General features: G+C 33.5%; 1 protein-coding gene across 10 annotated transcripts in view; it reads left to right on the plus strand.

Moving 5' to 3' along the window:
• The window catches only part of MALRD1 (MAM and LDL receptor class A domain containing 1), a 687,552-nt gene that overhangs the window by 190,517 nt on the left and 472,232 nt on the right, over positions 1 to 24,803 (plus strand). For all 10 annotated transcript variants that reach the window (XM_011519453.3, XM_011519455.3, XM_011519454.2 and 7 more), the window contains one exon: positions 20,241 to 20,328. In XM_011519453.3, coding sequence (XP_011517755.1) covers positions 20,241 to 20,328 — 88 coding nt within the window. The remainder of the gene's footprint in view (positions 1 to 20,240; positions 20,329 to 24,803) is intronic.

The following is a 24,803-nucleotide window of genomic DNA, read 5'->3' on the forward strand; positions in this document are numbered from 1 at the left end:
CATGTTGTTGCAACTGGCAGAATTTCATTCTTTTTTTATGGCTGAATAGTATTTCATTGTGTGTGTGTCCATATATATATATATATATATATAATTTTATGTATAATTATAATTACACATAAAATTATATATAATTATAATTATATAATTATATAATTATAATTATAATTATATAATTATATAATTATAATTATATATAAATTATTATAATTATATATAAATTATATAATTATATATAATTTATATATAAATACATAATTATATATATATTTATATATAAATATATAATTATATATAATTTATATATAAAACCATAATTATATATAAAAACATAATTATTTATAATTTTATATATAATTATAATTATATAGAATTTTATATGTAATTATAATTATATATAATTATATAGTTATATATAATTATATAGAATTTTATATAGTTATATACATTATAAATAATTTTATATAGTTATATATAATTATATGTAATTTTATACAGTTATATAAATTATATGTAATTTTATACAGTTATATATAATTATATGTAATTTTATACAGTTATATATAATTATATGTAATTTTATACAGTTATATATAATTCTATGTAATTTTATATAGTTACATATTATATATTATATATATTATATATAATATATATAATATATATAACATACATAATATATATTATGTATATAATATATAATATACATAATAATACATAATATATATTATATATAATATGTAATATACATAATATATATTATATATATGTAATATACATAATATATATTATATATAATATGTAATATACATAATATATATTATATATAATATGTAATATACATAATATATATTATATATAATATGTAATATACATAATGTATATTATACATAATATATTATACATAATATATAATACATAATATATATTATACATAATATATTATATATGTTATATATTATGTATAATATATAATATACATTATATATAATATATAATATACATTATATATAATATATAATATAATATATAATATACATTATATATAATATATAATATAATATATAATGTATATTATATATAATATACATTATATATAATATATAATGTATATTATATATAATATACATAATGTATATTATATATATATAATTCACTTGTTTGTTTTTAGACACACAGGTTGATTCCATATCTGATTATTAGAAATAGTGCTACAGTAAACATAAGAGTGCAGATATTTTTCAAACACAATGATTTCATTTCCTATGGATATATACCCAGTAGTGGGATTGCTGGGTTATGTGATCGAATGATTGTTTTTTTTGTTTTTTTTTAAATTTTTTAACGAACTTCCATAAAGTTTTGCTTAATGGTTGTACTAGTTTACAATCCCATCAACAGTGTGTAAGTGTTCCCTTTTCTCCACTTCCTTGCCAACTCTTGTTGTCTTTTACCTTTTTGGTAATAGCCATTCTAATGGGTGAACTGGTATCTTATTGTGGTTTTGATTTGCATTTCCCTGATGGTTAGTGATGTTGAACATGATTTTATTATATATTCGTCTTGACCATTTCTATATTTTCTCTTGTGGCATGTCTTTTAGTTTATTTTGTCCTTTTCTTTTTTTTTTTTTGAGAAGGAGTCTTGCTCTGTTGCCCAAGCTGGAGTGCAGTGGTGCAGTCGGGGCTCACGGCAACCTCCATCTCCCTGGTTCAAGCAATTCCCCTGCCTCAGCCTGCTGAGTAGCTGGGGTTACAGGCACACGCCATCATGTTTGGCTAAATTTTTGTATTTTTAGTAGAGAAATGATTTCACCATATTGGTCAGGCTGTTCTCAAACTCCTGACCTCAGGCAATCCACCCGCCTCAGCCTCCCAGTTTTGCCCATTTTTAAATAAGTTATTTGTGTTTTTGCTGTTGAGTTGTTTAAGTTTCTTATATAATGTGGGCATTAACTCCTTAGCAGATGTATAGTTTGCAAATATTGTATCCCATTCTGTAAGTTGTCTTTTCACTCTGTTAAGTTTCCTTTGCTGTGCAAAAGCATTTTAGTTTGATGAAACCCCATTTATCTATTTTTGCTTTTGTTGCCTGTGCTTTTGACGTCTCATTTAAAAAATTCTTTTACAACCCAAAGTTATAGAGAATTTCCCACATGTTATCTCCTAGTAGTTTTTCGTAGTTTTCAATCTTACCTTTAGGTCTTTAATCACATTTGAGTTGATTTTTGTATAAGGTAAAAGATAGGGGTCTAATTTCATTATCCCACATGTAGATATCCAATCTTCTCAGTACCATTTAATGAAGAGACTGTCTTTACCCCTGTGTGTGCTCTTGACTCCTTTTTTGAAAATCAATTGACTTTAGGTATGAGAATTTATTTCTGAGCTGTATATTCTGTTCCATTGGTCTATGTGTTTGCTTTATGGCAGTGCCATGCTGTTTTGCTTACTATGGCTTTGTAGTATATTTTGAAGTCAGGTAGTGTGGTGCCTCCAGCTTTGTTATTTTTGCACAGGATTGCTTTGGTTATTTGGGGCCTTTTCTGGTTTCATACAAATTGTAGGGTACTTTTTTCTGTTTCTGTGAAGAATTTCATTGGTATTTTGATAGGGATTGCATTGAATCTGTAGGACATTTTGTTAGTATGGTCATTTCAATAGTATCAGTTCTTCCAATCCATGAGTATATAATGTCCATTTTTTGTGTATCGTAAATTTTTCCATCAGTGTGTTATAGTTTTCATTGTAGAGATCTTTCACGGCCTTGATTAAATTTATCTGCAGATTTCTTGGTAGCTATTGTAAATGGAATTCCTTTCTTGATGACTTTTTCAGATAGTTCACTATTAGTGTATAGAAACACCACTGAATTTTCTGTGTTGATTTTGTATACTACAACTTTACTGAATTTATTTATTATTTCTAGTAGTTTTTGGTCAAGTCTTTAGGGTTCTCACTCTATATAAGTATATCTAGAAAGAACCTTAAAGAGAGAGAGATCATATATATCTATATGATCATATATATAGATGTATACATATGTATGTGAGATCACATTTTCTACAAACAGAAACAATCTGACCTCCTTCTTTCCAGTTTGGATCCCTCTTATTTATTTCTTTTGTCTAATTGCTCTGGCTCTGACCTCCAGTACTATGCTAAATAGAAGTGGTAGAAGTTGACATCCTTGTCTTCCTCCATATCATAGAGGAAAAGCATTTAACTATTCACCATAAATAAGATGTTAGCTGTGGGTTTGTCACATATGGCCTTTACTGCATTGAGGTACACTCCTATACCTACTTTCTTGACAGTTTTTATCATAAAGGAATGTTGACTTTTGTCAAGTGTTCTTTTTGCATCTGTTGAAATGATCACATGGTTTTTGTTTTTCTTTCTATTGTGGTGGTGTATCATATTTACTGATTTGTGCATGTTAAGCCATCCTTTCATCCCTGGGATGAATCCCACTTGATTATAGTGAATAATCTTTTTAGTGTGCTGTCGAAGTCAGTTCACTTGTATCTTGTTGAGAATTTTTTTATCTATGTTCTTCAGGAATATTGGCCTGTTATTTTCATTTTGTGCGTGTCTTTGTCTGGTTTTAGAATCAAGATATTGCGAGCCTCATAAGATGAGTATGGAAGTCTTCCTTCCTCATTACTTTTGTGGAAAAGTTTGTGGAGAATTGGTAGTTATTCTTTAACTGTTTGGTAGAATTCAGCAGTGAAGACATCAGGTCCTGGGTGTTGGTTGTTGTTGTTGTTGTTTTGATGGAAGATGTTTTATTATTGATTCAATTTCCAAACTCATTATTGATGTGTTCAGATGTTATATTTCCTCACAATTTAATCTTGGTAGTTGTATGTGTGCAGAAATTTATTCATTTTATTCTACATTATCAAATTTGTTGGCATATAGTTACGAGTAATGTCTTACAATCCCTTATATTTCTGTGGTGTATCAGTTGTAATGTCTCCTTTTTCATCTTTTATTTATTTGAATTTTCTCTCTTTTTGTCTTAGTTTAGCTAAAGGTTTGTCAGTTTTACCTTTACACTTTGTTTTATTTATCTTTTGAAATATTTTTTAGTGTCTGTTTCATTTATATCTGCTGTGAGCTTTATTATTTCCTTCCTTCTACCAATTTTGGGATTAGTTTGTTTTTGATGTTCTAGTTACTTGAAGTGTATAATTTTGCTTTGTGATTTGAAAATCTTTCTTCTTTTTTGGTGTAGGCTTTTATTGCTATAAATTTCCCTCTTAGAACTGCTTTTGCTACGTTCCATAGGTTTGGGTATGTTGGATTTTCATTCTTACTTGTCTCAGTGACTTTTGTAATTTTCCTGTTAATATCTTAATGAGACCCATTGATTTCTTGGGTGCATGCTATTTAATTTCCATGTTTTTATAAAATTTCCAAGGGCTTTCCTGTTGTTGATTTCTGGCTTTATGTCACTGTAATCAGAAAAGATACTTCATATGATATCTGTCTTCTTAAGTTTGTTAAGACTTATTATGTGTCATAATGTATGATTGGTCCTAGAGAATGTTTGGTGTACAGTTGAGAATAATTTGTATTCTGCAGCTGTTGGATGATGTATTAGTCTGTTTTCATACTGCTGATAAAGACATACCTGAGACTGGGTAATTTACAGAGAAAAAGAGGTTTAGTGGACTCATAGTTCCACTTGGCTGGGGAGGTCTCCCAATCGTGATGGAAGGCGAAAGGCACATCTTACATGGTAGCAAACAAAATAGAAATGAGAACCAAGTGAAAGGGTTCCCCCTTATAAAACCATCAGATCTTGTTAGACGTATTCACTACCACAAGAACAGTATGGGGGAAACCGCCCCCATGATTCAATTATCTCCCACTGGTTCCCTCCCACAACATGTATGAATTATGGGAGCTATAATCAAGATGAGATTTGGGTGGGGATATACAGCCAAACCATATCAGGTGAGATCTTCTTTACCTGCTAGGTCCATTTGGTCTATGGTATAGTTTGAGTCTGTCATTTTTTGGTTGATTTTCTCTTCAGATAATCTGTCCATTTTTAAAGTGGAGTGTTGAAATTTCCTACTAATATTGTATTGCAGTCTATCTCTACCTTTAAATCTAATATTTGCTTTATATATCTGGTTGTTCTGGTGTTGGGTACGTATATAGTTACACCTAAGTAATATATATGTTATGTCCTCTTATTGAATTGGGCCTTTTGTCATTATACAGTGACATTCTTTTTTTATATAGTTTTTTTATTTAAAGCCTTTTAAAATATGACATGACTGTGGCTACTCCTGCTTGCTTTTCATTTGTTTGCATAAAATATATTTTTCCATCTCTTCACTTTCAGTCTATTTGTCTTTAATAGTGAGGTAAGTATCATGTAGGCAGCATATAGGTGGGTTTTGCTATCTGAATCCATTCATCCACTTTATATCTTTTAATTAGAGTTTAATCCACTTCTATTCAAGTTTATTATTGATAAATTAGGACTTCCTTCTACCATTTCATTAGTTGTTTTTTAGATTACTTGTTCACTTCTTCCTTTCTTATTGTTTATCTTTCTAGTTTGGTGGTTTTCTGTGGTGCTAAGCTTTGTTTCTTTTCCCTTTTTTTTTTTTGTGTGTGTATCCGCTGTAATTTATTTCTTTCTGGTTAGTGAAACTAACATACAGAGTCCTGTATTTGTAACAGACTATTTTAAACTGATAACAACTTAACTTCTGTCACATAAAAATACTCTTGACTTCTCCCCCGCCACACACACAATTTATATTTTTGTTACCTTACATTACATCTTTATGAATGGTAGACTCCATGGAACATAGGTTCTATGTCACAACTAAATCAATTATTTAATGGCAGCATTAAAGCAGCCCAAAGAATGTGAAAAACTGGTGTCGGTGTATTTAACTTTTTAAAAACTATGTTTCATAATGTTTTCATTAAAAAGTCTTTATCAGTTTGCTAATGCCTAATTTTTACAACCATCCACCATAGATTTTACAGGATAAATATATTATTTCAGTAGTAATTGAAGCAGAATTTTTGTTGCTCTTCTTACCCTTAGAGATTGTGTATTATCCTCAGACGTAATTCTTTGATTTTTTTTTCTTTTCATGTTGTTACACATAGTTACCAACAATCAATGTGAGAATAACCTTTGAATATTTTCAAGCATTAAGATTTGTTTATACAGCTGCACAATTAGACAACCAACACTCTTGGGTCTTTACCTCTCAGCATACACCTGATTATTAACTTAAAGTTATGATGGGAAAAGTATCAATTTTTCTTGGTCACCTAGATTTAGAAATATGTAATAACCATAAGCTTGGGTCTGCTTCTTCAGAAGCCTAGGAAGTGGAGTGATGGTTCTCTGAAGAGGCTGAAAACAAAGTATGTGTTTCCAGAAGGCTTAATAGAATATGTTGAGACATAGGCCATTAACACAAAAGAGAAAGAAATGCAAAAAAAGTATGAAAGTAAGGATTTGAGAAGGGAAATTTTATTTTTAACTCTAAGATTCCTATGAATTATATGAAAGTAAATGTCCTATCCTTGAAATTAGCCAAAGGAAGCACTTTAATTATCAATATGATATGACTTTTCATACTCTTATCTAAAGATATCCGAAACTAAGATCCAGTTTTCTAAGAAAAGACCTTTTACTCATGCTTTAAAGCATGTTAGATGATTCCTACCACATCACATCATGTTGTTTACATGTATGATTTAAACTGCATTTATTCTTCAACTCACTGGTTCCTTAGGCTTCTTATCTTTCCTTGCACGCTTAGATAATTTTATGTAAAATTGATGTTTAGAAGTTTAGTTGCTGGGCGTAGTGGCTGTCACCTGTAAACTCAGTACTTTGGGAATTCAAGGCAGGTGGATTGCTTGAGTCTTGGAGTTTGAGACCTGCCTGGGAAAGATGACAAACCCCATTTGTACAAAAATAAAAATATTAGCTGGATATGGTGGCACATGCCTGTGGTCCCAGCTACTCCAAGGCTGAGGTGGGAGGATGGCTTGAGTCCGAGAGGCAGAGGTGTGAGCCATGATCACGCCCTGCTCTTCAGCCTGGGCAACGAAGTCAGACCCTGTTTCAAAAAAACAAAAAAAATCTAGTGAGATTTGATTTCTATTTCTATGTGATTCAAAACTAGGAGAGCTCCAAGGCTAATGACTTTTAAAAAATGGCCATTGCTACTTGCATTTTCTATGAAGCCAGCATACACAGCAACGTGCAACGTGCAACCTAAAAACCAAGCTATTTAATACGTAGCTTAGATTTCAGGTTTGATTGTCTTTGAGGTTTGATTATTGCAGAGATCAATTGCCAGACCAAATATAGACTAATTCTGTATTTGGTCTCTTTATCATATGAAACATCCCAGCCTTGGGTATAAATTAAGAGCAAATACAGATGTCCTTGTCAGGTGGTTGCTTCTCTGCACCTCCCGTAGGTGGCCAGTGAACTAAGACCATCAAGAGAGGAGAAGTCACAATAGTATCTTAGATGACGTTAAATTACGTTACAGTAACTCATGAACTCTGTCAGTGAGCTTGCATCATTGCTGGAGCATACCTCTTAGAATCCAAGGGATGAAAAGCAGGTACAAATAAATTGTGTATTAAGTGGCTTTCAGACTGCACTAGAATTAATTTTGTTTCAATGTTGAAATGTTGTCATTGAAGAAGTCCTAGATTCCGCATGAGCTTATGCACTGAGAGTTCACAATGAGATGCAGCATTATTTTTAACTATAATCTAGGTAACGTGAGTTACTGGAGAAAGCAGAATAGATTCTTAGGTAGTAGAAATAAATAGAGAGCTCATCTGAATTACAAATGATTTTTTTGTGTAGTCTTTAGCTGGTTTTATAGGAGACTACAAGGTACAAACTGAATCCTCAATAGACTAGGGAAAACATAGCAAAAATTTTCTTTTGAGCAATAAAATAAATAAATGTATGCATACTGTATTCTCTCCACATTGCATGGTTGAATAGAAATTTGATTTAAGAGGAATTGATAATTCATTCTTATCTCAGTTACCAGGTCAAGTAATTTATATTCCTAGGACTTTTATTTGCATGTATGTGAAAAATTATAAAATATCTCAGTTATCAGGCAAAGGACTTGATATCCCTGGGAATCCACTTGTCCTTTTTAACACAGAACTTAGATTAGATTAGTAGCTCTTAAATTTTCCTAATTATCAGAAAAACCTAAAGTCTTCCCTACAAACACCAATATCAAAAGCTCCAGAGGAGAATCCTAGGAATCTGTATTTTTAGCAAAAGCTGTTAGTGATTCTGATGGTAAGAAAGACAAATTGGGGAAACATTAGATTAAATGATATGTAAAGTAAGTGCCATGCTATTGAATGTCACAATATATTTTAAAAATTTCTTGAGATGAGTTGTAAATGTGACAATTCATTCTAGCTTATCTCCTAAATAGCATCAAGGACCCTATATTCTCTCTTTAAATTTCATTACAAAGATGCTAACTTAAATGCAGTCAGTGGAAGGTAGCTGAATTATAAAAAACGATGATGTGTTAAACAGTTAATAAGAGCTTTTGTTAATGGTGAAGATTTTATCTGTGCTTTTAGTTCTGTGGTGTCAATACAGTATCCCTTTCTAGTTGGTAGACAACTGACTATATTAGTTTGCTGATACTATCTCAATAGAATATTCCAGACCTCTCTCCCTCTACTTTATCTGCTTAGCAAACACTTCTATCCTTCATTTTGTTCAAGTAGATTTCCTTTCCTGATAACCATATTTTGATAACCAGCTAGCATAAATATTCAGACACATGTAGAGTTATATTTTCATTTTGTATTAAGTAACTGGCATTTTGTTTTATGGTTACTTTCTGGGGATACTGTCCAGGTCACTGAAGACCAGACACAAGCTGAATATACCCAGAGGGGGAGACACCATAAGAGGCTGGCATGAGGCGCTAGTGCTTATTTTCTTCTGCTGTAAAATGCCTGGGCATGAAGGGGAAAAAGCCTGGATGTAATTTGATCTGGAATTTCTGACCTAATGCTTTAAAGGGATTTCTGATTTGAGGCACTGCTTGAGACAAACTCATCCTCTTAAATAGGAGCCTGGGGCAGTGGCTGGACATCAGAGTACAAGAACAAAAAATAGAACTCAGGCTTATCTTGTGACAGATGAAGCTGAGGTGATTGCTTGAATATTTACCCCAGGCATAACTGAGATAAAAGTCCATCCTGTTGAGCTGCCAGATAATGCAGTGAGAATGGTTTTGATAAGTAATTCCCAGTTTTCAGGGAAAGTAGTATACTAATTTGTCAGAATTGAATACTTAATTTTTATTTCTATATGTACAAAAATATGATGCTTGATGAGTTTGGGAAAAGCATTAATGGACAATTTCATCAGTTTGATATAAAGGGATGCTCTCTATCACTTAGCTTAATATGAATGTGTGGCTCTATACAAGAGTGTGTTTCTTTTTTCTTTAGTTGTATGACTTACTGCCATCAAAAATCCCATTATACAAATGTGTATAATGAGAAAGGCTGCCACCTGGTTTAGTGAAATTATGATGAAAGATGTTTAGCAAAACTTTGACGAAACATATAATCAAAAATAGTTGATTTGCACAGCTAGTCTACATAGTGCCTAGGATCTCATGAACTGAAGATCCAGAAAGTTCTTGCAAATGGAGTTTTTTTAAATAGAAAAGCCAAAGGGCTTGTTGGTTGTACTACTGCCACATCTTCACAAACTGAAAAAGAAATACAAAAACAAAAAGCCTTAAGAAATTAATGACCCTCAACATGTTCAAAAATTAAATTACTTCATTAAAAATATTCTCAACATTCATCACATTAAGAAATCACATAAGTAATGAAATATCTCTTAAATATTCAAGGATAACTTGGGTTGCAAGGGCTTCTGAAGGTATAAACCACCAAAGAGATTTTACTCTAGATTTCTAGAGTAAAACAGACCTTAAGGTCTGTTTACAATAAGGCTAATGCCTTATTGTAAGGAGAAACGTATGTTAAATTATAGATTTTGATGAACTAAATTCCCCCACCCCCGAACTACATTATAATGTGCACATTATGTCACATTTAATGTTCAACATACCCTCAAATACCATTTTGGGAATCAGAGGCTTAAGTGACACCAAAGCATTTCCACATGTAAATAATAAAAAAGATAACATTAACATTATATTTTTATTTTCAAGGAAGTCAAATTTGAAGAGCAATTACAAAGTGGACAGGAACTTGACAATAAAAACTTTAAAGTTACATTTCAAATGAAATACTATAACTTTTAAAGAACAAAATGTTATTAACAGCATTAATTTTGTTAAAATAAAAACTTAACCGACGTTAAATTTAACATAATTTAATTGAGCAAGGAAAGATTCACGAATTGGGCAGCACTCAGAACCAGGAGAAGTTCAGAGAGCTCCACCCAGTAACATGGGCAGGCAGTATTTGTAGACAGAAAAAGGAAGTGACATACAGAAACAGCTTGATTGGTTAGAGCTCAGCATTTGCCTTATTTGAGCATGGTGTGCTAAGGCCTTTGCTTTAAATGAACATGGTTTAATCATTTGTGCTGAAGTTTGGCTGCTGTGATTGGCAGACAGTCGGTTACAAGAGTATACTCTTAGATTGCAGGTTGTTTACATACTAAGGTTGCTGTTTGCTATGTAGGGATTCAAAGTACTACATAATAACTATGGAGGAAGCTTTAGGCCAAATTTAATTTAATCTAACAGTTTCAAAAGCAGGTATTATTTTCACTAAAATGAGATTTTAAAATCTAAATTGAAAAAAGTGTTTATTTTGGGAAAACATTTATTATTACAGAACTTGTTCCTCTTGTAAGGGTCCAAAGTCAGTTACATAATGAATATTAAGGTGCCATGAAAAAAAAAAAATAAAGTGTGACACATGTAGAAAATGTTATATTATTAGTATAGTGCTAACCACTTGGTAGATGTTACAATTTTATAGTAAGAATTAATAGTTTTTTAAATATAAATAACTGTTTAAATTGGTTTTGTATTATTTGTATAGCTTCCTCTGTCATTTGACACCTATTAGTGACTACGTGATCAGTCAAAAAAAGCAAGAAGCCTAGTAAAAGAGAAGGTGAAAGTAAAAATTTGAAGCATTTGGACTTTTTAAACCAGTCAGGAATTAGACTCTTTGACTGTTTGGACATCATTTAACCAATGGTCTTTCTATGGGCCTATGGATGAGTTATTTAAATTGTGTGGGTCTCATTTATTCAAATCTAAACTAAGAATTTTAGATTCTAAATGTTCTCTATGGACCCATTTAGTATTAAAATGATAGATTTTAAAAAATATGTTGTAAGACTGGCCACAACTAATAGCTATTATACAGATATATAACATATATGATATACGTGTATATCATATGTGTATATGTTTTAATTTATATTATATATTTATAATATAAATTATATATTATATATTTTGTAATATAAATATATGTTATATATTTATATTAAATATATTTATATGATATATAATATAAATTAAAACATACACATATGTGTGTATATGTCTCTGTGCACATATATATATGCACATACACATATATGTGTGTATGTGTGTTTATATATTTCTTTTAATTCATCTAACAAATGAAATTGATATTACTCCAGATAGAAAGTGATGCTTGATAAATAACCGAAGATTGAAGGAAAGGACTTGGAAATGCAGGCATAAGTTGGGGAATGGAAAAAGGAGGACAGTCATGGCAAAACTGTATAAATGTAGGTAGAAATCGAATTGGAATCCAGGAACTAGGCCATGTAAGGAAGAGAAAGACACGGTTTCAAAGTAAAAGGATGCAGGATTTGTCAGCAGTTTAGATAGTAGTGTGAAATATTAGCGTAATCAGTATCTTTGGCACATGTTTTTTTTTTGATAATTATATGTCATGTAAAACAGATGGGATATAGCATGGCACCAAGTGTAACACCAACAGTTTTAGTTGAAAGGGGAAGTTTCATTTTTTCTTAAAATACATTAAGAGCTTATAATGTGCTAGTTACTGTGCTGGATGCTGTGTTTGCAGCGCTTGTGTCCTTCAGTGTCCCTCCTGGAGGTTGTCCTTAAAGTCTCATAGAGAAGACGAACATTAAATGCACAAATACTTATATGATTCTAAACAATAAGAAGTTTGTAAAAATAAAAAGAAAATAGCCTTAGCTTGAGTGGTCAAGGAAGGCTTCTCTGAGAAAGTAACATCTAACCTGGAACTTCAGATACAATTTCTAATTCACAATAACTAATGGGTGGGTATGTGGGACATTGAGCTAGAACAAAAGACAAATATGGGTTAGTTAAGGTTTAAGTCGAGTTTAAATCGATCATTTTTTTTTATTTCTGCTTTAGGTCTACATCAGTGTTAAGTTGCTACATAGAAACATAAAAATGGGGGAAATTTGGGATTTGGTGTCTCCTTTTACAAAGAGAATGAAAGGCATATGATGATTTTTTGTAGAAAGACTTGTATATTAAAATAATAAATTAGAGTTCAACTCCTTTCCTTAAATATTACCTTTAATGGTATGGAAGATAAAATTAGTCTGATGGGAAAAAAAATGACATTTAAGAATTTTAAAACTATGCTTCCTAAATAAGAATTTAATTTTGGCATGTGTGAGCCTATTGATCGGACAGTAGTGCATTGTGTTCTGTTAAAATCTTATTATACCTTATTATCTCATTTTTAAATAATAAAAACACAATTTACTGAAAATTTTAATCAATAGCTCTGAACCTTCTTCACTTTTTTCTAAAATATCAACCAGACTTTTTTCAATTAAATCATTCATTGTAACCTTTAGTAAAATAGGTTCCATATAATTTTTAGGATTTGGAAAAACTGGGAATAATTTCTCCTCATTCACATAATATATGAGATGCGAAGTGGGTTACAGGGTATATGGGTTCTCAGAGGGTATTTTAAAATAGCATGTGAGTGTGCAGAGTTTCAAGTAGCAAACTAATTTCAAGATGATCAACACTGATTCTTTTTAAAATTTACTTAGGCAGGTTTCAGGAAGGTATTGTTATATATCAGAGGCAAAAACACAAATGTGCCCCAATTTTGGCCCTTTTTTTGTGCATCTAAAAACATACAGAGGAAAATGGAACTGAAATGAACTTTGTGGTTTGTGAATCCTTTAAAAACCGCAAAAAGCAAGTTAATCTCATATGAGTTGAGTACTTAGAGATGATGTGTGTGATGATATGTGTAAGACATTTGTTTAGATTCCAAAGTAAAGATCAGCTCCCCACATCCTCCGTCTCTCTGCCTCTCTCTCTCTCTCAATGTGTGTATTCTCTTTCACTCAACAAGATTAGCAGAAAGAATTCTCTGTAAGTAAAAAAACATGTCTGAGGTTTTGAATGGCCCAATTTCTTACATCTTTTTTGATTTCTCTTTTAATATTATTATTATTATTTACTCTCTGCCCTCAACACAGCAGAGGCCTTGATGGGAAAAGGCTTTGTGGGCAAGCGGCAGGTGGGTAGTTGAATCTGGAGGACTCTAACAAATGAGACTCCTTCCTTCAGAAGAGTATGAAATGAGACATTTTATAAAGGGAGGGGAGGCTGAGTTGATTTAACCATTCCAGTGTGCAGATACATTAGAAAAGAATTAAGGGATCGTAATGCTTCCACAAATGAAATATTTCAACCATGTAGCACCATCCAAGTGCCCTGTTTGGAGATAATTCTCCATGGATTTCTTCTGTTAGGCACAGTTCAGCCTTTGAGCAAAGGGCGTATTTAAATGGTCTTTACCTTGAGACATTTGCTTACATTCCAGAGTAAAAATAAGCTCTTCTTGCCACCTCTCTTTCTCTGGAGGGGAGAATGGGCAGACATGCCAGCAGCCTATTCCAGCTAGAGTCTCCTCATTTTGTATTCCTCTCCTATGGTGTGACTGTCTGACATGCAGGTAAACATCCCTGCCTCCTCATATTGCCCTGTGGAAATGGAAGGTACTTCTCTGGCTGTTGCTTTTTCCTGTCTTTCTGTATCAGGGATCTAGTGTTTTATATCAGTGTATATATATGAAATAGTGGCAAATTTACTCATTAGCTTCCAAGTAGGGTAAAATATCAGGCCCTTCATGCTTTCTGATTTGAACTGTGCAAGGAATGGCAAACCCAAATAACTATGGGAACCAGACATGGGACATGAATTGAAAGAAGTAGGTGATATGGTTTGACTCTATGTCCCCCACTTAAATCTCTTGTTGATTTGTAATCCCCAGTGTTGGGGGCAGGACTGGTGAAAGTGATTGGATCATAGGGGCGAATTTCCCCTTGCTGTTTTCATGATGATGAGGGAGTTCTCATGAGATCTGGTTGTTTAAAAGTGTGTTGCACTTTCCCCCTTTCCCCTTCATTCTCTTCCTCCTACTCCAGCCATGTAGGAAATGCTGGCTTCCCTTTGCCTTCTGCCATGATTGTAAGTTTCCTGAGGCCTCCCAAGCCATGCTTACTGTACAGGCTGTGGAACTGTGAGTCAATGAAACCTCTTTTCTTTATAGATTACCCAGTCTCACATAGTTCTTTACAGCAATGTGAAAACGAACTAATAAAGTAGGTGAAGTTTAAAATAATGAATGGCAGCTGACAACCTTGGTGTGGGTGCATAATAGGGAGGACTAGTGTCTGCGGCAGCTGAGGAGCAATGTCTTCTTGTGAGATATCCTACTTTTGAAATATTGGCAACCAATCTGACTCAAGAGCACTCATGGAGTTAAACGAAACTGTTATGGACTGGGTCCAGCCCAAGGGCCACCATTTAGTCTTCTCTATCGTAAATGGTGAGATAGTCAAGGATGGGGATGAATTTATTTCTTCCTGTTAACTGTGGAATCACTTGGCGCAATGCCTAAGTAGACACTCATTTTTCTTTTTTTAATCAAAAGTTCTCAGCAAGCTATAAGCCAGACATTAGCTAAGAAGAAATACAATATAATGCCAAAAGATCAACATAAATTTTGTTATGATTTTGTTTCCCAAAATAAGAAAACAGATTTGGTAGACATCATATTTTTTTGTCAGTAATCATCTTATAGTTCTTGACTACTTATATATCCCAGCATTTTATTTTGTCTCTACTATTACCACAATGTTATTATTATCCATTCCTTTGCCCAGTTTCTCACACAGTTTTAATATGGCACTTATGACCCTTGTTTCATGATAAATGGTTTTCATATGTCTACTATAGTAATTGAAAAACTCCAATTATTCTGCAGCTTTGTGTATGTGATAGAGTCAGCCACAGAGTTAGAATCATAAAATTTGTCAGGCCAAATCTGAGTTTTATTTCATAGAGATTGGTTTCAGGGTTGTGTAAACAATTGCAAAGATGATTTAAAAACCCTTTTATATTGTATCCAGCAAATAGTTCCCTCAGTATTGGCCTAAAAAGTTTGGAATTCTAAGCTGATTTTCTAAAAGCTCCCAAGAATTGTAGGTTATGTGGTTAAATATTAGATCGTTGTCTGAATGCGTTTATAAGAATTTACTTAACACCTTAGGTGTTAAAATGGGCTAAAAGAGAGCTTCATGTAATGCCTTTCATTCTGTTTGTGCATTTTTGATTATTGGAAAATCCAATGAAAAATAAGTGGGTGTCATTAAGAAGTATAAGAGAGAGCGTAAGTATTTGTCCTCTAGGAAATTATAAGTGGATAGCAACAGAAAATTGTTCATAGCTGAATTGAAGAATAGATTGAGATTCTTGAGATTACTATATGCTGGTTATAAAATGCCACACATTAAATTAGCAATTGAGAAAAAGACATGAAAGTAATAGACACATTGATGACTTATGGCAATAAGTATAGAATAAATGCTTTGTATTTGTTTATTGAGGTATAATTTATATGTCGATTTTATCCTGTTTAGGTGAGCAGTTCTATGAATTTCAACAAATGTACAGTTGTCTTTTGGGATTCAGAGGATCAGCTCCAGGACTGCCCCCATGTAACTAAATCAGCACATACTCAAGTCCTGCACTGGAAACAAAGTGTTGGCCCTCTGTATACACATCTTTCACAGCCACAAGTATTTTTTATTGTGTTTTATTTAAAATAAGCCACACATAAGTGGACCAAGGCAGTTCAAACTCATGTTGTTTAAGAGCCAACTGTATACAGTTGTGTAAGCAACCACTACAACCAAAATAGAGTATATCCCCACCATTCCCCCAAATCTTCCATTTCCTGATATAGTCAATCTCCTCCTTTTACACCCCCAGCTCCTGTCAACACAAATCTGATTTCTTTCCCAATTGATATGGTTTGGCTCTGTGTCCTCACCCACATCTCACCTTGAATTGTAATACTCACCATGGGTCAAGGGTGGGACCAGGTGGATATATGGGGGTGGTTTCCCCCATACTGTTCTCACAAAATCTGATGGTTTTATAAGGGGTTTCACCCTTTGCTCGTGTCTCATTCTCTCTCCTGTCACCATGTGAAGAAGGACATGTTATCTTCTCCTTCTGCCACAATTGTAAGTTTCTTGAGGCCTCCCCAGCCCTACGGAACTGTGAGTCAATTAAGCCTCTTTTCTTTGCAAATTACCCAGTCTTAGGCAGTTCTTTATAGCAGCATGAGAGTATTCTAATACACCAAAAATTCTGACTTTTCTAAAATGGCATAAAAGGAGCTGATAAATGATACAGGCTTTTGAGTCTGGCTTCTTTCACTTTAATGCTTTTGAGGTTCACAGCTGTTGTTGCCTACATCATTGTTCCTTTTTGTTGCTGAGTGGTATTCTATTGTATGAATATACTGCAATTTGCTTATCTGCTTACCAGTTGGGAGATATTTGGGTTGATTTGAGCTTTTGGAGATTATTAACAAAGCCTGTATAAACCTTGTTAATGGATTCTTGTTTAGACACATCTTCATTTGTCTTGAATAAACAAATACCTACATGTGCATTGCCATGTCATATAAAAGTGTATGTTTAATTTTATAAGAACCTGCCAAATTAGTTGTATTAATATGGCTGTGCCATTTAGGATTCTCATCAGGAATGCATTGGAGTCCCAGTTGCTCCACATAGAATATGTGCTTTTTATAAATTTTAAACTAAAATTTCTGCCTCAGATATAATGTATCTTCATATAAAATACATTATATTTGAGACAGAAATTCTTATTTAAAGTTTATAAATTTATAATATATCTGAAAATACATTATAGTTATAAAACATACCAATTTTTAATATAATGTATCTGAGGATACATTATATTAAAAACTGATATGTTATATTGGAATTGTGTAATATTTTACAAATACATGATGGCTAAAGTGAAAGTAAGCAGCAGGTTGAATTAATTCCATTTCTCTTATGAGTTAACTGAGGCTAAAACATGTGTTTGTATGTGAGGACAATCGTTTTTATATCATTTAAAATTTTGGTCAGTCATTCAGTTTCCTAAATACATAGAAGGATGAGTTCAGGAAAGTTGCTAGAGCCCCATTAATGTTTAAGCCTCAAAGTTCCAACGTGGTTACCAAGGCCAGTCTGTCTTTACGTGGAGCAGGTGGCAGCCCATGCAAAGAACAGCTTGGATGAGCTGGTTTACTTCATAACATTTCCAAGACGATGATAGTTCTAATATAAGTAGAATTGACCTGTACAGATAAGGCAGGTCATTTAAACTAAACTGGATTTTCAGTTGCCCTTTGAGGCACTCCGTAAGGTAGCAATGGGACTTAGGAGTAAAATTCGACTTCCCTAATTTCCGGAATCAATACTGTCTTATATACAATGTATAATGCTTGTGTTTTGATAATCTTCTATTCGTTCTCGGGGAAAAACACCATAAATGAAAGTGACATTTTCATAATAGAGGCATTTGGGTTTATTCTTTTTGTGGTCATTTTCTCAGGACTACTATTTTAGAATAATTTACCAAGCTTTTTTGCAAGACTAAAATATAGGGTTAAAGTAGGGTTAAACCTTAACAGTCATAACTTTGTTGCTGAAGTGTGATTATTATCAAAAAGTCTTTTAAAAATGCTTTTCTTAAATATTCAAAAGAGATTGAGACTATCATACAAATGGACAATTTTAGTTTCTCAAATTGTAATTATTGTTCATTAATTCTCAAGAATGCTAACATTTAGAGGTTAGCAAATTGAAGATATTTTGGTAAAAATTATGATTAAATTATGTATTAGAGCAAACCCAACTGTCTTCTGTCTTGGATTGTTTCTGTCTTTCCGTTGGCCTTGAATGCAGATAGAAACAATATTAAAATACTTCTCATGCAACATGAAGGAAACTCCAAAGGAAAAATGCCTTGAGCAAATCACATTCTCTAACCTGTTATGGCCCTCTCTGGGTTACAGAATTTTGTCTTAAATTTTCATAAATAGCCAATTCTTTAATTTGTGACTATATAAAGACAATAAAAAGTCTTGGAACAATTGACTCCAAACACCAGAATGGAGCTATGAATGTGTATATATCCCTAAAGCTGGTTTCCAGCTACTTATATGTACAACAGCTTCACTCTCTATGAAGTGGGATGTTACTATCAATTTTCTATTCCTTCTCATTAATAAGATAATGATAATCATGAGGAGTGAGGCCAAGTCAATAGTATTTATTTTTATTTACCCTAGTTTCTTCTAAGCAATTTGTTAGCATGTTCTGTGTTTTATTGCAGTGGGATTTACATGTATGGGTACAGGACATTAACTGGTGATTAATTCATATTTGTGCCTTTTCCCCAACTGTTCACCCAACTCTATTTTTAAAAATAAAACAGAATACGTTTTTCTGTAGTATGTTCTTTCAAATTCTGTCTGCTAGTTTAGGTTTATTGAAAATAATTGTATGAGTTTGGACTAAACATTCTTTATACATTTTTGTTTTCTCTGCCTATAATGCCTTTCACTCATGATGGTGGTGGGAAAAAGGATGCATTTTTATGTTTGGAGAGACTCATTGTAAAACAGCGGGACACTTCCTGTATAACACCATTAAATGTTGTTCAAACAATGTCAGGGGGACTATATTTGCCCACTAGTTCTATGCAGAAACATTTCCCAAATTAATTAATTTTCTCAGTGACAAATCAGGGAGAAAATCCTGGTAGACCTCAAGAAAGGGTAGAAAGTTGGAGAAAAGTGTTAAGAGGTTTGAGGTCAGCAATTTGACCTTTTAAAACTTTCTTTCATAAGGAGAATGTCAACAAATAATGTTTGTGGTAATTTTCAATGAAGGCTAGAGCTTGAAAAGTAAAACTTCAACTCCCACATATAACATTTGTGAGGAAAATGAAATGAAAACATATGTTCATATAATAATGGGAAAACATAATGTATTTTTCTAAGTTTGAGTTTGCTAGAAGTTCTTTATTATTAAATTATGCTGGGATTCCTAGTAAGCATGCAAGACATTTGCATAAGTATTAAAATAATTCATCATGATCAATTCTGTTACAGTAAATCTCAACCCTAATCACAATCTACCATATACTACAGTGGTTCGTCTATATGTGGTATTTCATATTTTACTAAGTTCTGGTGGAACTGCCGCTCCTGCAGCAGCACAAATGTCATCTGAGTTCACTGTGATTAATGTGGCCCTGAAGGAGATCTAATCACGATTAGCCAATTTCATAAAGTGTTACAGAATCAGTGTCATGTGAGAAACATTTTAAAGCCCTTAAAACTGTATATCCTAGCAAGTAACTCTGGTAGAAAATCTAGGAGGATGAGGAGGTTTAATTTGGGAAACAGATGACCCAGGAGGATGAGGGAACAATTATTTGCCTTCAAATACTTAAAGGACCAGAAGGGAACAACACAAATCTAGAACTAATGGCTGAAAGTTATAGGGCAGTGGATATCAATCTAATATACTGAAATTTCAAAAATGGAAACTCATAAGAAATGCAATGAGTTCCATGGGTCTAATAGGCTCAATGTAGTATGGAGGTTTCTGTTACTAGAAGTATTCAAGGCAAGATGACCACTTCTGGAGACTACTGCAAAGCAGTTTTTTAATGGCACAGAAGGTTATATTTGGGTACATTTTAAATTCCTCTTCATCCATTCCATAACTTAATTTCCTTTACCACATAAACACATTTCTTATTTTTATTTTTTATTTTATTTTTTTAGATATTGGTGGAGGCTTCAGTGGGAGATGGCTTCACTGGAGATATTGCGATTGATGATCTGTCATTTATGGACTGCACCCTCTACCCTGGTAAGAGAGAACATTTCAATTTGGGGTTATTTCTAAATCTGTTTACTTGGAAAACTTGCAAGGAAATCAATATTTCATTTCTACAAAATTTCCAATATGACCTTGCTTTTATTCTTTTTCTCAAAACTATTAACTCTGGAAAAGATTTTTTTAGATCCTTGCTAGTAATTAGTTTTCAAGTGTCAAACATAGTCAAGATGTTTGAATCACTTATGTCTATGACTTATCACATGCAAAATACTAGAAAATCATGTCTGAAGTTAAAATGTAATTCCATTATATTTAAGGAGTTACAATAACCAAACCATTTGCCTTATAATTACATCGCATTGGATACTTTATTAACCTCTCGGATTACTCTCGGGAGGCACTTTAAATATTTCTAACAATTGTTGTCAACCATTTCCTCACTGTTTTATGGTTTTATGTCTATTAAAATGACATAAATGACATATTTTCCAGATATATATCAATTTTCAAACTTTCCCCTAACTCCAGACTCATATACTCACTACCTACTCAACAGCTTAACCTGGATGTCTAGAAGGCATCTTAAAGATAATGATAGAAAATAACCTAAAATAAACACAACCCAGGCCTTGAATAGTGTTATGAGGAGAAACCCATTCTGAGAAGTGCATAGTGATCTAAGAAGACTGGAGTTTGGCACTCAGACTGAGAGCTCTTAAAGTGCACGACAAGAGGGAACATGATCTCCTCCCTGGAGTGATCAGAGGCTGGGGCCCAACAACATTCTCAATTGCCGAAAACGTAACATTCATCCCTGCTCTATCATCTTAGCCTCACTGGTCTGCGGAGCACCAGCTCCATCCCATGCAGAGTCAGGTGATGGGGCTGATTCCAGTCTTTTCAGTTGTAGCTATGTGACACAGCTCTGATCCTACCCACCACTCAGCATCCTAACAGGATCGATTGGTGTTACCACTGTGTGTCATGGTTTTCATAGAACTCTGGAGACAGCTGAATCCCTCTCTCGAAGGCTAGTAAAACAAGAGGCAGAATTGAACAAATTTACCCTTACCTCTCAATGCCTAAAAGTGAATTCCTGATTACCAGTTGCCTCTCAATCCTGCCACTCCTGTATACCTCCCTATCTCAGCAAATGACAGTTTCTATCTAGCTGCTTATTCCATATTAACAAATCTGGTTTATATTAACAAATTTGATTTAGTACCCACCCTCATTGCCCTCACCACTTTCCCCATGGTCCAAGCAACCAGTGTCTATGCATGGATTATTGCAATTGCTTTTTAAATGATCTATCTGCTCCTACCCTTGAGAGCTATATTCTGAAAACAGCAGCCCACATGTTTCTTTTCAAACTTAGATAAGGTTAGGTCATTCTATTGTCAGAATCTTCCTATGACTTTCTATCTCATTCAGAGCAAACCTCAAACTAATGATAGCTTCCAAGGAATAAATGACTAACCCCTTATACCTCTTGAATTCACCTTTCACCAGTGTATATCTCATTCACTTTTCCCTACTACAAAGGCCTCTTAGCTAATACTTGAGCACTTCAGCCAATTTATGGTGTATTAGTCCATTCTCACACTGCTAATAAAGACATACCCGAGCCTGGGTAATTTATAAAGAAAGGTGATTTAACTGACTCACAGTTCTACATGGCTGTGAGGGCCTCACAATCATGGCAGAAGGTGAAGGAGGAGCAAAGTCAAGTCTTACAAGTTATAGGCAAAGAGAGTGTGTACAGGGTAACTCCCCTTTATAAAACTATCAAATCTTGTAAGACTTATTCACTTTCACAAGAACAGTGTAGGAAAGACCCGCCCCCGTGATTCAATTACCTCTCAATGGGTCCCTTCCATGACATTTGGGAATTATAGGAGCCATAATTCAAGATGAGATTTGGGTAGGGACACAGCCAAACCATGTCATATGGTTAGGGCTTTTCCATCTGCTTTCCCCTGTTCCTGGAACAGGTTTCCCACAGATGTCTATCTGACTCTCTCCCTTACTTCCTTCTGGTCTCTGCCAGAGTTTCTTCTTCAGGGAAGCCTCCTCTGAACACAACACAACACAGTTTCTTTCTTATCTGGCATTTTCTATTTCTATTCCTGGTGTTATTTTTCTCCACATCACCTATCACCCTTATGGTTAAATTTCTATTTTCCCCCATAATGATGTTAGTTGCATGAGAGCAGGTATATCACCTCTTCACTGTTTAATCTCCAATTCCTACAACAGTATTTGACACATACTAGTACTCAACAAATAGTTGTTGGATGGATAAGTAGGTAGAGGAATGTCAATAATTTTAGGTGTTTTATATACTCTCGTTATATATTTTAGTTTAGTTTTAGTATTATTGCTAAAATATTAAGTAATTCTATGTGCCAGATACTATAGTATATGTCAGTCAGCTTTTGTTGAAAGCCAAGTCTCAGTAGCTTATGACTACATTTATTTCTTGCTCTCAAGCGTGTAGGTTGGCATAGAGAATAAGAGCAAAGACATAGACAGACAGACAGATAGATAGACAGACAGATAGATCTTAATCATAGCTCTGTGTAATTTCATGTAGCTCTAAGCTATGTGTCTCTGTTTCACGTGGTCCTATCTCTCTGAGACCATGGCTAAAAGACCAAGTCCCTATTTGACACATTTCATAGAGGATGGAAAAAAAAGCATATTTGAAATTTCAACTGGGACATGGTATACATCTTACTGTGTCTGTTCATGTTCATTAGCCATTGATCAGATCCTAACAATGGGGCAGAGAAGTATTTTCCACCTACAGGGAGCTCAGCAGGGGTAGGGGAGATAGAAAATCTTTACAAGAAAGAGAGGTGATGTGTAGGGACAATATTATAACCGGCCATTCTTACGTATTTTATTTTACTTAATCTTACAATGTTTTAAGAGTCTAGAAGAGTGCCTGGTCCATCATAGGTGAATAGATGTTGTATGTGGGGCAGGATTAATGCCTTTATTATACCAGTTTTATGGAGGAAATTGAAAAGGAGATAACCTGCTCAAGGGTACCTAGCTGTAAAGTGGCAGAACACAGTCACTTCTTCTTGGAACCATAATGTTCACCACTAGTGTTATAGGGCTCATCAAACACACTAAACCTGAAAGGAAGAGGCTACAATCTCCAGTTTACAGATATGAAAAATTAAAGATATAAGTAGTGTGGATGAGAATACAAAATTAAGGATCGGACTGTGATTTTACCTAAGCTGGTCTGATTTCAGTGGCCAGGGCTTTCCCCACATTGCCCCCAAATCTGAGATTAGAGAGAATCACTGTGACCTCAGAGTCAGAAGAGAACAAAAAAAGAACACAGAAAAGAAACACAAGTCACCATTGAAACTATTGTTGCCCTAATTATCTGGCTAAATCCATTCCATGGCTCACAGTTCCAAGGGGAGGTAAAACAGCTACTAGAAGCATAGGCAGAGATGCGAAATGTCAGTTACTGAGTGTTGGTCCCAATTTTCTGTTTCGAGTTTTGGAAGAAAAATAAAAAAAACTTGAAAAACTGTAGGAGCTGTGTTTTTTTGCAATGGCATAACAAAATAAACTATGGGTCAAAACCACAAGGCTTGTTGAATCCATAGGTTTTATAAAGGAATTTGATAAAGGAATCTTACCATAAAATGAAACAAAAATAAAAATTGAGCTCTACGTAAAAAAAAAAAAAAATGTTACTCTTGATGCTTTCCAGTCATTTTTTTTTTCATAGCATCATGTTATCTGAAGTAAGAATCATGCTTGTAACTTCACTAAGGGGCATTGATTTCCTTTTAATATTAACTGATTATTTGTTTATAGCATTTTTCTTCTTTGGCCAATAAAACAAAGCAAAATAAATAAAAACTCAAAGTCACATACACACAAACCAAAATGTTGACCTAATCCCCAAGATGTGGGTTTCTATCTTACCTACAACTTTTATTTTATAGAAAATGACTGAGCAGTAGATTATTTTACTTTTCTTTGGTACTTCAAAATCAACCTTTTCCCCTCGTGCCTGCCTTGTAATTTTAATGAAAGCAGTGTTCTCCAGCAACCTGGGCTTGAATTTCCACAGTCGTCTTTGACTTTCTTCTTAAACTTCTTCGGTTGTAAATTCCACTGACTACAACTGCAAGATATTTCTCGGACCTGCTGTTTTTTCCATTACTCTAATTCAAGTCAGTGTTGACTTGAATGAAAAACAAATATTAGACCAAAAATGTTATTAATATTCCCCAATAGTTTTTATGCCCTTAAATTAGTTTATTTTTACTTTGTCTTAAAATGTCATCATTTGCTCTTCCAAGTCGTCTCTCTCATATTCTGAGCTATGGCTTTTTTCTAATTTAATTTTCAAATCATTCTCAATTATGAATTATACCTGATTTGTTTCAATACTTTTATAATATTGTTAATTTATTTTTCCTACTTTATTAAGATATAATTGGCAAAATGGTATATAGTCAAGGTGT

The sequence above is a fragment of the Homo sapiens genome, chromosome 10 (genome assembly GCF_000001405.40).
Source record: "Homo sapiens chromosome 10, GRCh38.p14 Primary Assembly".
Lineage (NCBI taxonomy): Eukaryota > Metazoa > Chordata > Mammalia > Primates > Hominidae > Homo > Homo sapiens.